This window comes from Homo sapiens, chromosome 22 (genome assembly GCF_000001405.40).
Source record: "Homo sapiens chromosome 22, GRCh38.p14 Primary Assembly".
NCBI lineage: Eukaryota > Metazoa > Chordata > Mammalia > Primates > Hominidae > Homo > Homo sapiens.
Window position 1 is genome coordinate 36710298 of NC_000022.11, and position 15532 is coordinate 36725829.

The 15532-nt window shown below is 46.3% G+C and overlaps 1 long non-coding RNA gene across 1 annotated transcript in view; it reads left to right on the plus strand.

The window, feature by feature from the left end:
- CACNG2-DT (CACNG2 divergent transcript) overlaps nucleotides 1-15532 on the plus strand; it is a 63214-nt gene that overhangs the window by 6422 nt on the left and 41260 nt on the right. The window contains exon 2 of the long non-coding RNA NR_134623.1: nucleotides 12931-13050. This is a non-coding gene — a long non-coding RNA (CACNG2 divergent transcript). The remainder of the gene's footprint in view (nucleotides 1-12930; nucleotides 13051-15532) is intronic.

Below are 15532 nucleotides of genomic sequence, written 5' to 3' on the forward strand. Positions count from 1 at the left end.
AGGACAGGACTGTCACCCCCAAGAGAGTCCTGAGCCACCAAGCACGCTAGCCTTTCAACCCACCACCCCCCGGCTGGTATGAGATTTCCCCCAAAACTAAACTACAGCAAAGAAAATTCTGATAGCAAATTAATCACAAAGTTACAGATTAGAAAAAATGAAATAAAAAATGTGCACATAAAGATGCAGAGGAAGAGCAAGAAGAAGAATATGAGCTGGCCGGGTGTGGTGGCTCACACCTGTAATCCCAGCACTTTGGGAGGCCGAGGCCGGCAGATCACTTGAGGTCAGGAGTTTGAGACCAACCTGGCCAACATGGTGAAACACGATCTCTACTACAAATACAAAAATTAGCCCAGCATGGTGGTGCATGCCTATAATCCCAGCTACTTGGGAGGCTGAGGCAGAGGAATCACTTGAAGCCGGGTGGTGGAGGTTGCAGTGAGCTAAGATTGTGCCACTGCACTCCAGCCTGGGTAACAGAGTGAGGCTCTGTCTCAAAAAAAAAAAAAAAAAAAGATTGTGAGAGAGGCCAGGGCAGGAAGCAGGGCCATTTCCAGCGATTTTTAAAGGAGCGGCTATCCAATAGCGATGGAGACAGTGAGATGCACGCAACCTACTTGGGCAAGCAAGGTGGAGAGGGGACACAGAATGGCCCTGCATGGCCTGGTGACCAGGCTTAGCCCCCTCACAGCCCCACTCTCCTGCCTTCCTCCCTCCAGCCAAATCAGCCTCCCTCTGTCCCTGGATCCTGGTCCCTTGCCCACTCAGGGCCTTGACATCACCGTTTCTCCGCCTGGGCCACGCATCTCTTGGCATCGGGCTCGTGCCCTCTTTCCCACAGGTGTCTGTTCTGAGAGGCCCAACTGACCACCCAATGAAGCCTGTCTCACTCCCCATCATTGCAAACTCTTTATCTGCTGAAGTTTTATCCTTAGCCCTTAGCAGCCACCCTCACCTCCCATAGATTTTTATTTTCTTATTTATAGTGCAAGGATGGGGCCCGGCTATGTTACTGCTTCCCTGCCTTGCACGTGGTATCTGGCACACAGTAAATATGTGTGGCCCAATGTGGCAAATACATGTGGATTGAATGGGAAAACCCCTGGGTCAGCAGGGTGAGAAGCAGAAGCAAAGCAGGAAGAGGAGGAAGGGAAGGGAATGGCCTGGCTGGAGTATCCCAGGAGGGCTGGCCTGGAACTCTGCACAGGGAGGACAATGGGGTCTTTAGGAGAAGACAATGGGTGGCTTCAGAGGTCCCTGGGCAGAGTGGAACCTGGAGAGGTGAAAAGGGAAGAAACGGAGGGGACTTCTTTCCATGTGGATTTCGGCAGATCAAGGAGGAGGTGTCCCCAGGATTGCTGGGGACAGCCATGCAGGCTGGGGAGTGGATCCTGGGGGTCGGGGTCCAGTCTGATGCAGGCCAGCATTGTGGCCTCAAGTGACAACAGCCTGAGGTCTCACTGGCCCTGTCTGGAAAATGGGGGCAGCATCACCTGCCTTGAGGTGCTGTTCTGATAATTAAATAAAATAATGTAGAAAAAGTACTTCCCACGCCTACTCCGTAGTAAGCCCTAAATAAATATTAGCTACATGTTGAGCTCCTACTGGGTGTTATGTGTTTTGAATAAAATACAAAAAAAAGAAAGAAAGAAACAGACGTAGCCCTGCTCAGAAGCAGTCACTCTCAAGTGGAGAGAGACCTGCATGCAGGGCTCAATATAATGTGGGCAACAGGATGGGGAGAGGGCGGAGGGAGGCATGCTAGGGAACACACCCTGTAGTGGACAGACAACGCCACCTGGATATTCAGGAAGGGCTTCCAGGAGCTGGGAGAGCTGCTCTGGGTCTTGAAGGATAAGTGGAAGACTTAGAGGCAGAGAAGGCCAGGGAAAGGTTTTCTAGGCAAAGGGAATAGTAGACCCAACCTATATGGGGCATGAAATAGTTATTCAGCAAAAGTTAGTGCCAAGTGCAGTGGCTCACATCCATAATCCCAGAGCTTTGGGAGGCCGAGGCAGGAGGATTGCTTGGGGCCAGAAATTGGATACTAGCCTGGAAAACAGTGAGACCCCATCTCTACAAAAAAAATTTAAAAATTAGCCAGATGTGGCTCACACCTGGAGTCCCAACTACTGGGGAGGCTGAGGCAGAAGGATCACCTGAGCCCAGGAGTTTGAGGCTGCGGTGAACTATAAGCGTGCCACCACACTTCAGCCTCGACCACAGAGCAAGACCTCATCTCTTAAAAAAACTTTTTTTTTTTTTAAATTAAAAAGTCCCATAAGTTTGTTGAGCACCTAACATCAGTGAATAGGACTGGAGTACTCCCTGCCTCTCGGAACATTAGGAACATACATTCCCAGAAGGCAGCCACTACGTAATTGACTACACAATTGATTGATAGTTTAATTGTAATTGTGGTAAGTGCATGGTGCATTTGTGGGAGCTACAGGTAATTCTATTTCTCCAAAGTGCTAGGAGGGAACTGGCAGAGATCAGCTGGAAAGGGAGGCGGGGCCTGGTCAGGGGGTGCCTTCAATCTAACTTAGTGCCTACTATGTGCTAAGCTCTGTGCAGTGGACACAAAGATAAAACTAAGTCAGTCACCGGCAGGAACCAATGACTGAATGCAGTGTGATCAAGGAGGTCCATGGGGTGGGTCACAGGGACATAGCAGGGAGGGCTTCATAGAGGAGGTGACCTTTCCCCTTCCCCCAGTTGAACAGCAGTCCGACAGCCTGCTGTCCTGCCTTTTAAGGAACAGGGCTTCCCGACCCTGCAGGCTTAAAGAATCATTAGTCACGTCTGAAGCTGGCTCAATAGCAAAGGGTTCTGAGCCTGGTGGAGTTTCTTTTTAGGCGTCTGGTGCAAGTGAAGGAGGTGTTGGTGTCATATTGAGGTACAGACCCAAAGAGCAGTAGGTGAGAGGACCAACAGGCTGCTCCTGTGTCCAAAGGCTCGAGGAATGTTGGCTCTGCCCCATTATCCCAAGCTTGGGACAGGTTATTGTACCTCTCTCTGACTTTTTGCTCATCTGTAAAATGGGTGTGATGGCAGAGTCATGGGGCTGCTTTTGTCATGGGGATTGAATGGGGGTTTCTCCTGCTACGTTTTCATAATGAGTGCTTTGTCTGTGCTGCCAAGTGCACCACCAATTCCATAAATGTGGTTGACCTGGCTCCTTACAGAGGAGGTCAAAATCACCAAGGGTTCTGAACATCTATAAGTTGTGGCCCAACACTATATTCTGAAAACAGGTCTGATTAGGAACACACTGTAATGGGTAGACAAAGACCCCATCTCCTGGACCCTGATGGGTTTTGCGGATTGTCAAGTTCCTCTTTTCCTAAAATAGCTTCCTTTTCAACAACCTGTGGGTGCCCGAGTCCCTCTGTTGGTATCAGTTGGGCTATCTGGTATATTTATGGGTAGTCTTATCTGAGCCAAGTAACCTACTATGTGCTAACACGCCAACTCACTCCATGGGCCTGCTTGGAATTCAGAACCCACTGCCATGCAGACGGACATCGGGGGGCTTCCACAGGTACCCAGGGGTGGATCCCTGGCCCGCAGACTGGGCTAGACTTGCTGTCCTAGCTAGGTTCCTGCACCCTCTTCCCTGGGTCCTCACCTCCTGTCCTGCAAATGCTGTTTCATCATCTCTCCTAAGAAGCCTCAAGTTCTGAACGATGGGGTCCTTGTCCATTGTGGTTGTCATTGTGCCCTTTGTATCTTGCACATGGTTTGGCACAGAACAGGGCCTGAATAAACACAGGTTGTTGATAAATGTGGGGTAGGGGTAAGTTAGAGAGAAGAGGAGGAAATTGATAATAATAGCATATTCTCTCAATGTCAGGAGACCACGTTGACCACCCGGTTTCCATGACACTTGGGGAGTATGGCTGTGTGCTTGGTATACTTGGTGTCATATGAACTCATTTAATCTTTATAGCAAGTCCTCAAGGGAAGTTCTGTGATGGCCCTCAAGAGGCACAGAGAGGGTAAGCAACTTGCCCAAGGTCACACAGCTAATATGTGATACAGTCAAGATTCTAGGCCCTGAGGCTCTAGTACTATAGAGACTCCTATTAATAGATAACCTACTATGTGTTGGGCATTTTCTCCCTTAATGCTATAAAAACCTTGGGAAAACTGAAGCTCAGGGGGCTGACCCTGCCAAGCCAAACAGCCAGCAAATGGCAGAGCTGTAATTTGCACACAGCTCTGCCTGTTGCCAAAGTCCTGCCCAGTACACAATTAGGGCCCCATAGTGGGGAGAGACTCCGCGGGTTAGGTGACTCCCCCACTTCCACTTACTCAGAGTGGCAAGCAGGTGTCTGCTGAGCCCTGGACCTCTTCCCAGCTCCTTGCTGAGCTTCAGGGCTTATGTCTCCGCCTGCTCTTGCTGCTAAGGGAACTATATTTACCTATGGAGGCCAAACTGAGTGGGATAGTGGAAAGAACCTGGGGTCTGGAGCTACATGTTGAGCTCCTACTGCCTCCCCCTCACGGAGCCTCATTTCTTTGTCTGGAAAATAGGAAAAATAATAATGACTCCTCAGTATAGAATTTATGAATTTATATCAAGGACCTAGGACTCTGTGGTACACGAGAATGCTCAAGAAAGGTGTGATATTGTAGCATCTCTCTGCTTAGAACCTTTGATGACGTCTACACACAGCTTGTGAGATTTGACCTTCAATCTCTTCCATCACCTTCCTGCCCTACTCCCACAGAGTTCCAGCTACACTCCTCTTGTTTCTCTCAACAAGCCGGGCCCTTCTGTGCTATGAATTCTCCCATGAAATCATTTTGTCTTTCAACATAGATACATATGTAGATAATCTGCAGAAGGGCATAATCGAGGTGAAGTCATACCTGCTAGTCCCTTTTCAGCCTTGCTTTTTTTCTTTTGCTTGTCTCTTTCCTCTTTATGTATATATCCCTCTCCCATCTCCGTACCCATGTTACAACCGATATATCTCTAGGTGTTCAAGCAATCATAAGCAAAATAGACACGCAGATCGTCTTCACACACAAACACACCTGCGCATATCCAGATGCCACTCACATACAGAGAGCTGGACCATTCTTTTACAGAATGGGATTATACGAGGCACCCTTTCTGTGTCTTGCTTTACTCATTCAAACACCACCACCCGTGGGAATCCCTCCAAGTCAGCCTCTGCAGCTCTAATTCATTCTTTTAATGGCACCATCATTTTTCAAAGTGAGGAACTACTATAATTTCTTCATCCAGTCTTCTATTGACAGACGTTCACTTTATTTCCAATTTTTTTTTCCCTCTGCTATAAGCAGTGCTGCCATAAACCTCCTTGTACATACATCCTTCTAACTGGAGATTTTATTTTGATGGAATAGATTCCCAGGAGGGGGATTGCTCAATTGAAGAGACTATGTATTTTTTATTTTAGTCAATGTTGCCAGATTGCTTTCCAAAAGTGCTGTAACACTTTGCGTTTTCTCCAACAATTCATGAGTGCTTTCCTACTGTTTCCCAGCAGCCATTCCAGCAACAGGTGTTAGCATTATTTTTAATTTTTGCCTGTCTAATAGGGGCAAAGTGAAATCTCAGTTAATGTCCTATACAATAGTGAGTGTGCATATTGTTGTATGTTTGTTGGCCATTTAGATTTGTACTATGTCTTGCCTATTTTTATCCTTTGCCTAACTCCAGTTCTCCTTGTTCATTGCTTATCAGTTTATAACAGCTCTTTGTATATATAGATATTAACATTTTGCTTGATATCTGTGTTGCAAATAGTTTTGTGCTTAAATCTTTTGTTTTTATATCAATGTTGTGAATATCTGTTGCCACAAAAGTAATTTTTATGTAGTAAAATATGTCTTTCTTTAAAAATATGACTCTCTTGGTGTTTTTAAAAATGCTCTGAGATCACCCTTGTCATTTCCTACATTTTCTCCCAAGATATTTATTATTTTAATGTTGGGGGCTGTTAACTCTTTAATCCATCTGGGGTTTATTTATGTGTGTGATTGTAAGAGGAGGTTTCAACTTTCTTACAAAAGCTAGCTGGTTGTGCTGGCATGATTAATAAAACAGTTGCTCCTTTTCCAGCATAATTGAAATACCATCTCTGCCACATATTAAATTCTCATGAATACTTTGATCTAGTTCTGAGCTGTCTGTTCTGTTCCACTGATCTGTGTATCGCTTCCTCACCAGCACCATTCAGATTTGATTATAGGGGCCTTAATATGTTCTGATCTCTAATAAGCCACGTTCTTCCCCCATATTCTTCTCTTTCGCAGGATCTGGTTGTTCCCGGCTCTGCATTCTTCTACATGAACTTTGAGCTGGTTTCATTCAATGGTGCCTTATACCACCCCTGCATCCCAGGGCCTGAGATGGGGCTAGACATTCAGCAGGGGGGCAGGAGATGTTTGTTGAATATAGTTGATGCTCTCATACCTCCCCAGTGCCTCCTAACCCCCACCCCCAGGACTATAAGATATTAAATAGTATTCAAACCAAAGTTAATATGAAAGTGTGTACATAGCAGACAAATCTAACTGAATGGAGGAAGCTTCAGAGGCCTTTAAAGCAAGGAGAGAAGTCGCTCTTGTATTCAACACCTATTTATTGAGCACCTACCATATGCTAGACCTTATTCTAGCGCCTGGGGATATAGCAGAGGCCAAGGGAGACAAAAGTTCAATTTCAAGGTGTGATAATGGTAACGTGTTAATTATTTTTTGGTGAGATAATGATATTGTTGTTATGTTTAAAATAAAGAGCGCTCAGCCAAGTGTGGTGGCTCACGCCTGTAATCTCAGCAGTTTGGGAGGCCATAGCAGGAGGATTGCCTGAGCCCAGGAGTTCAAGACCAGCCTGGGCAATACAATGAGACCCCATCTCTACAAAAATTACAAAAAAAAAAGATATTAGCTGGGCACGGTAGCGTGTACCTCTAATCCCTGCTACTTGTGAGGCTGAGGCAAGAGGATTTCTTGATCCCAGGAGTTTGAGGCTGCAGTGAGCTGTGATCATGCCACTGCACTCCAGCCTGGGCAGTAGAGTGAGACTCTGTCTCTAAAGAATAAATAAAATAAAATGAAGAGTCTTTACCTTTAGAGATACTTCCTGAAATATTTACTGGTAAAACTATGTAAAGTCTGTAATTTGTTTCTAAATAACCTAAAACTGGGGGGAAATGGATGAAAATATAGATGAAACACAATTGACCTTAAATTGGCAATTATGGAAACTCAGCAATGGGTAAATAGGGATTTATTATACAGGCAAGTATCCCTTAAACAAAAAGTGCTTGGGACCAGAAGTGTTTCAAATTCAGAGTTTTCGGATTTTGGAATATTTACATATCATAATGAGGTATCTTGGGGATGGGATCCATCTCAAAACATGAAATTCATTTATGTTTCATATATACCTTATAGACATAGCCCAAAGGTGTTGTTATGCAATATTTAAAATAATTTTGTGCATGAAACAAAGTTCATGTGTTATGAGGTCAGGTGTGGACTTTTCCACTTGTGGCGTCCTGTTGGTGCCCAAAAAGTTTTGGATTTTGGAACATTTTGGATTTCAGATTTTCAGATCAAGAATGCTCCACATCTACTGTTTTCTCTACTTTTGTCTGTATTGGAAATATTCCATGATAAAAAAAAGTTTTAGAAACGCATACAGAGCTTATTATGTTCCAGACATTGTTCTAATTGCCTTACGTCCATTCATTCATCAAATCTTCAAAACAGCCCTAGGAGGAGGGTATTATCATCCCAGTCTTACAGATGAGAAAAGCGAGGCCCCATGAGATCCAGTCACTTGCCCAGGGTTGGTCTCAGTGAGTGAGTGGCAGAGCTCCCTGGCCCCATGGCCTTCCTCTCAAACACCATGTTCTACCGTCTTTCCCATCTCCCACTTATTCTGGTGAGCCTGCAAATGGACAGCTAAATGAGATGGGATTCTTTTTTTTTTTTTTTTTTTTTAGATGGAGTCTCGCTCTGTTGCCCAGGCTGGAGTGTAGTGGTGCCATCCTGGCTCACTGCAACCTCTGACTCCCGGGTTCAAGTGATTCTCCTGCCTCAGCCTCCCGAGTAGCTGGGACTACAGGCACAAGCCACCATGCCCAGCTAATTTTTTGTATTTTGGTAGAGAAGGGGTTTCACCATGCTAGCCAGGATGATCTCAATCTTCTGACCTTGTGATCCGCCTGTCTCAGCCTCCCAAAGTGCTGGGATTACAGGTGTGAGCCACCATGCCCGGCTAAGATGGGATTCTTTCATAAAGTAGGAAGGGCTATGAAAGATACAAAAGATACAAAACAAGGTTATGGGAGAGAGAAAGACTGGTCGTGGGAGAAGGTGAGACTGAGAGTGAAGAGGTGGTGTCCTCTTTTGGGTGAGTGATCAGAGAAGGCCCCTCCAAGGAGCTGAGACCTGCACAGACATCTGAGAGAGATGTTCAGACAGAGAGGCTGGCCAGTGCTGTCTCTGAGCTAGAACCAGAAAGGATCACAGTGGACAAGGATGAAACCTGTTTGGGCACAGCGGCAGGCCCCAGATCTCACTGCAGGCTGTTATGAGGTGTTTTTAGGTTCAAAAAAAAAGTGAACCAAGCCATCTCAGTAAGATCATAATGATTTATTGGATTTATAAGCTCTATGATCATTTAAATACATTTACCTACATTTTGTGGTGCTAAATTCATCTATAACAGAGGAGTAATTTAATTCTGAAGCCACATTAACTGCTCTTTGCCTTCTCGCAAAGTCACCCACTCTTGATTTTTTTTGCATAACTTAATTCAGTTTTTCTGCTCTTGCTACATTTTCTTCAGCTCCTACACATTTTTTGGGAGGTGGTTATAATGTTATTATCTTATTATTAGTCACTAACCGGGAATAATTCACTTTTCCAATTGATCTATGCTGCCTACAAAATGCCATATCAACTGGAAGCACAGTCTGGTTAGTGAGTTTTGAGAGCCAGTTCAGACAGACCACTTTGTGTGACAGGCTTGGCTCAGGCAATGATGACCTCTATGAGCTGAATTTACCTGTGGTCAAACGGTCCCAGTGTTGGAAGAGCATCCACAAGCCAGATTCTCAAGGGTGCGGCAGGGGTACCTGATTGTGTCCAACTCATGTTGTGTGCTGAATATTTTACACAGTTCCTGCTAGTTTGCATTTGTCCTAAATAAATTTCTGACAATGTCAAGTTCAATGGATTCTCTAGATAAAACATCCCTGAGCACCATGTTTCCCTTGAAAGGATGCCCAGCTGCATATGCACATTTGTGGTGTAGCCTTCACACAAACACACTTATTTGGGTAAAGTAGAAGTGTGTATGTGGGAACTAATACATCCTTCTGCCATCGTGACTCAAGCCTGAGGAGTGTTAATTGTGGATGAGTGGGGTTTTGGGGCATAAGCAATTGCCTGGTTCACTTTATGGTAGAATCACCCCGAAGCTGTGTATTGGGAGGAGAGAATGAGGACGGAACATTAGGTGAACTAAAAGGAGAGGCTATAAACTGAAGCTTATTCTTTGGGTAAGAGCAAGCCAAATTTATTCATGAATGGGTGTTCCTGGCCTTTGCTTTCCTGCTGTCATCTAATCAGGTTTTCTTGATTCTTGACTAGGTTTTTGGAAGAACTTAGGGATATAGAATCAAAAAGAAAGGAGGAGAAAGAAATGAACAAGAAGCCCTCTATTTAGGGTTCAGGAGAAGTTTTTCAGGGTGTTAGAGGAAAGGGTGGGAGAACCATAGGGGTGACGAGGGAGACAAGAGGGCATAGAAATTTTAAGAGATATCGCTACAGATATCTCCAATCCGTAGAGTAACCTGGTGGGCTTTGCATGTGGCTTTGACCAGTCATTGGCCCTTCTGGGTCTCCTCATCTCCCCATCTCTCAGAACTTGGACCCCAGGAAGCCAAAGGGCCTTTCTAGTGCTCACATTCAGATGTCAAATGGCATCCTCAAACTATGCTTGGTCCAGGACTCTGGAGAGATCTGGATTCCTATTGACTCAGAAAATTACTCAGTATTATTTTATCTGGTGTAAGCCACATCCCTCTTCTGTGCCTTGATTACTCTATTGGCTCATCAAGGACACTGAAATAAACACAGGGGACTCACAACGTGATATTCATGAAGTTGGGTTTCTTTTTTTCTTTTTTTGAGACAGAATCTTGCTTTGTCTCCCAGACTGGAGTGCAGTGGCGAGGTCATGGCTCACTGCAGCCTCAACCTTCCAGTGTCAAGTGGATCCTCCCTTCTCAACCTACCAACTAGCTGGAACTACAGGCACATGCCACCACGCTCGGCTCATTTTTAATTTTTTTTTTTTTTTTTTTTTTGTAGAGACAGAGTTTTGCCATGTTGCCCAGGCTGGTCTCAAACTCCTGGGCTCAGGCTATCCTCCCACCTCCGCCTCTTGAACTGCTGGGATTATAGGCATGAGCCACCCCGCTCAAACCAAAGTTCTTTTAATAAAGGAATTCCGCAGTGCAGGGTAGACAGCTTCCTTCTATCTCTCATATGTAAACTACCTCCTTTTCTTGCTCTCCTTTTCCCCTGACCCATTGTCTCCTTCTCTCCTCCTCAGGAGGCTGGATGGGGACACATACCATGAGTGACATCTTACCAGAGGGTGGCCATGAACTTCATCATGTTCCACAACTGTTAATGACCACTGGCGCTGGCCCTGCTGCTCTCTGAACTCCTCTCTGTGGAACTGTGCCCCTTCTCTGGGAAGAGTCCTTGAAGCTCTACTGAGAATGAAACCTCTTCTTTCAGCTCATGTCAATCTTGGTATTTTCCCAACATGTTCAGGTTCTGGCTTGGAGGTGCTATCTGTTGTTGACTTTGGACATAAACGAAGCTGTTATTTGCCTCTTTTGGTTTGTTATGTTAACAAGCTTTTGGGATTTGTTCTTTAAGATTCCCCACCCCTATTGTATGATGATAGGTGCTGGAACCAGACTGGTTGGGTTCAAATTTTTGCTGTCGCTAACTTGCTTTGTGAACACATGTCAGTTACTGAATCTCCCCGTGCCTCAGTTTTTTAAATATGTAAACAGGGAGTTCTCGTAGTACCCGTGGGTCTTAGTCAGTTATTGCTATAGAACAAACCACCCCCAGACTTAGTAACATCAACAACAACTATTGTTTTTTTCATTCATGCATCTGGAGAGAGGCTGGGGAGGAGGAGGCTTGGGTTTGGCTTATCTAGGTGGGGCTTGCTAGGCTTGGCTCTGAGCTGTGGATTAAACACAGGTCTTCTCCATTTGTCTTTCATCTTCTTTGGGCCACCGGCTACATAAGGCATGTTCTGATGGCAAAGAGGAGAATTAAAGGGGAAGTCCTATTGGCCAAAGCTGGTCAATGGGAGAGAGAAGCGTACGCCCCTAGGGAGAGACAGAGGGGAGTGAATTTTTGTTGAACAATTATCCTAACTATCACACTGTTGTGATAGTTAAATGATTTAATAACTTTAACAGGCTAATAACAGTACCTGGCATGGAGTAAGTATTCAATAAATAACAAACATTGGTAGTGATAATATCAGTACTAGTGGTAATATTAATATTGGCATTTTTAGTAGTATATGCACACCTCAGGTACTCTTTTCAAAATATACATTCACACTAAAGTGTAAATGTCTGCTGGTATAACACAGACCTCAAATGTGTATGTTTAACAGGAGCAGTTAAGCCAGAGGTGAAGGCATAAAGGTAGATTTTTGAGACTCAGTAAAATCTAATGATGAAGAAAGGGGGTTCTGGAGTAAGTCAAATTTGGATCAAAATGCAAACTCTGCCACTTATTTTGCTGAGTGACCATGGGCCAGTTTCTCACCCTCTCAGTGCCTCATAGGGTAGTGTGAATTTGATAAGCTCTTGTAAGCAAAGCAAGTCAGAAAGCACCTGGCCCCTAGCAAAGTCAATAAACACCCATGGGTAAAAAGGTCAGGAGTGGAGGGAGGAGGTAGCAGAAGCCTCTCATAGAACCCCAAACCTTGCCAGAAGGTGGTGAGCTCACCTCTGTCCATGGGTCTTTCCAGTAAAGGTTCATTAAGCACCTACTATGAGCAGGCATATGCTATGGAACCACAGATTCACTTCTGCTCAATCCACTCATTTCCACAGTTAACTTGCCTCGTAGTTAATCTGGTGGCACGTGAGTTCCGCTGGATCTTAGATATGGTTATCAAAATTAAAATTAAAATGGCCACATGAGGGTTCTGTGGCAAAGCAAGTTTAAGAACCTGCACTAAACAGCCGAACAGGTTCTATGGCTGCGGCACTTCAAGCCTTGCCTAGGCTCCTGTGCCTAAGACTCTCCCAGAGAGCGATGTAGAAGGCAGGCTTCCAGACTTAAGTGACCACAGAACCCAAAAAACTGGAACCTGGCTTTGGGAAACAGTGCTATAATTTCTTAGCATCTCTCCACCCCCATCCCTCCTTGCACTGTCAGCTGCTGGCATTCCTTCCCACCTTGCTGGTCCCCACAGCCCCATTCCTGGTCTCTCCCCTCCCTCAGGAAGTGCAGTAAGGTTTCCCAAGTTTGCATCCTTCACCCGGGTGGCACACTGTCCCCCACACAGGATGAGGGGCTCTGTGCCTGCTATTTTCTGGTTTCTTTCTGTGGGATGTCTTCTTCCTCCCCTGCCTAGCGAATCCTGTTCATCCTCCATGCCTCTGCCCCTGCAGGCAGCCTCCAGCTGTCCTGGTCTGGGATCAAAGCCCCTTTTCAGATCCTTTTGGCCTCCACAGTGTCGCTGTCTCATACCTAATTACTGGTTGGCACCTGTGAGCTTCCTGCTGTCTCCTTCCCCTCCTATTTTGAGTGCTTTGAGGTGGGGGCAGCAGTGCAGTCCCGTGGTTAAGCTTTCTTTCTTTCTTTTTTTTTTGACAGAATCTTGCTCTGTTGCCCAGGCTGGAGTGCAGTGGTGTGATCTCGGCTCACTACAACCTCCATCTCCAGGATTCAAGCGATTCTCCTGACTCTCAGCCTCCTGAGTAGCTGGGATTACAGGTGTGTGCCACCATGCCCGGCTAATTTTTTTGTACTTTTAGTAGAGACGGGGTTTCACCATGTTGGTCAGCCTGGTTTCAAACTCCTGACCTCGTGATCCGCCCGCCTCGGCCTCCCAAAGTGCTGAGATTACAGGTATGAGCCACTGCACCTGGCCAACCCCATGGTTAAGCTTACATGACTGCAGGGGGCTTTAGATCCTGTGTGACTCTGGGCACCTGCATGTGCTTCAGTGTCCTGCTCTGTGAAATGGGAATAACAATTGTAGCACCTCATAGGATGCCATGTGGAGGGAGAAGCAGCCTTTCCCTCCATTTCCTGCTTTCCTTATGTGGGGAGGTGGCAGAATGAAATGGAATGGGCTCAGACCAGGAGCCAGTGTTTGAATGCCGCTGTGAGACAAAGGGCGAGTGACTTCACCTGCTGAAACCTCCGCTTCCTTCTCTGAATGACAGAATGCCTCCATTTCTATTTCTATTGCATGGGGTTGAATTAATAATCTGAGGCTATGCATCTATAGGAGCTGACAGAGTAGGTGCTTAATAAATATTTGTAAAGAAAATATAGACTTGCACTCAGCACCACAGACCTGCGACATGCAACCCACTGGGCTCCCTGAAAGCCTGAGTGGGGAGGCATTTAGAAGGCAGGTGAGTCTATTGCTTCATTTCACAGATGAGAAAACTGATGCCCAGAGACAGTCGGAACTCACCTAAGGGCACACAGCAAGTAGGGGTTAGTAGATCTTAGATAAGAGCCCAGGTCTTCCTGACTTTCAGTCCAGGGAGATTTCGGACTCTCTAGATGGGCCTCAAGACATCTTGGGTTTGGAGAGCATGTGGGGATAGTAAACCACAAAAAAGGCCAGGCACAGTGGCTCATGCCTGCAATCCCAGCACTTTGGGAGGCTGAGGCAGGAGGATCACTTGAGCCAGGAGTTGGAGGCCAGCTTAGGCAACAAAGTGAGACCCCCATCTCTACAAGACAAAAATGAAAAAAAAAAAATTAGCTGGGTGAGGTAGTGTGTGCATGTAGTCCCAGCTACCTGAGAGGCTGAGGCAGGAGGATCCCTTGAGCCCAGGGATATGAGGCTGTAGTGAGCTATGATTGCACCACTGCAATCCAGCCTGGGCAACAGAGCAAGATCTTGTTTCAATCAATTATTCAATCAATGGATAAAACCACACAGATATCAAAAGAATGGGAGTATAACTATTTCTGACAATGCCTTACACTAACTGGCTTTAGTTTTAAAATGGTCAAATACATTCTTTTTTCCTTTTGAGACAGGGTCTCACTCTGTCACCCAGGCTGGAGTGCAATGGTGTGATCATAGCTCATTGCAGCCTCAACTTCCCAGGTTCAAGTGATCCTCCCACCTAAGCCTCCCAAGTAGCTAGGACTGCAGGCATGCACCACTACACCTGGCTAATTTATTTTTATTTTTGTAGAGATGGGGGTCTTGCTAATGCTGCCCAGGTTGGTCTCGAACTCCTGGCCTCAAGTGATCCTCCTGCCTCGGCCTCGCAAAGTGCTGAAATTACAGGTGTGAGCCACCATGCCTGGCCTAATTTCTTCAATGTTCCAATTGTCTTGAGATCTGCAGTCTCCCCTTTGCTTCCAGTTTAGCCTGAGCATGATTTGAGGGTCACTTGCCTCCAGATGCAAGTGTCCGGCAGGCACCCCCTACCCTGTGGCACAGTCCAGTGGGGACAGCTCTTCTGGGCTTGGGCCTGCCCCTCTTGGCCAGGTGTGGTGGTGAAGGGAGGTGGAGACAAGCCACATTACCTGGGCCCTTCCCTGGATGGGACACAATGCTCTGTGCTTGCCCCCACACCAGCTAGACGTTAAGGAGGCTCCCTTGGGGTCTGAGTCCCAGGATCACCATGCACCAAGTCATATGACTTTGGGAAAGCCACCTGCTCCCAGGCCTCAGTTTGCTCGTCTGTGAAATGGAAGGGATGCTGGCATTTCCATCAGCAGTGTTGCAGGGATAGGATAGAAGAAGATAAGCATTTGGGGCACTTAGCAGAGCACATGGTAGTCACAGTCATCAGTATTGTTTCCTTTAATTGCAACTCCTAAAATCAGGGATCCAAGGGACCTCAAAGACACACCCAACGTCTTTGGCCTCAAACTGGGAACGGTTGTGTTACCCCTTTCTCTCACTCTCGTGGGCCCCCTGGCTCATCTCCATGCTGGGGCATTCTCTGGGCATCGCGAAGGGCACGACATTACTCCCTGGCATTTGCAAAGTTGTTTGGCATGGGTGCGGCATTTCACTGTGTACAAGCCCCTTCCTCTGCCCAGTCCATACCTACCCCTCACGTACCTCTAGCGCTTTACAGTTTATATGTCATGCAGCATCTGCTGGGCTTAGGATGCCGACCCATGGTTTACAGAGCACACGGAGGCCCGGAGAGCCACAGGGAGCCCGGGGAGCCATGCGGGCCCCAGGCTTTGCCTCTGGGCGGCCCCACGG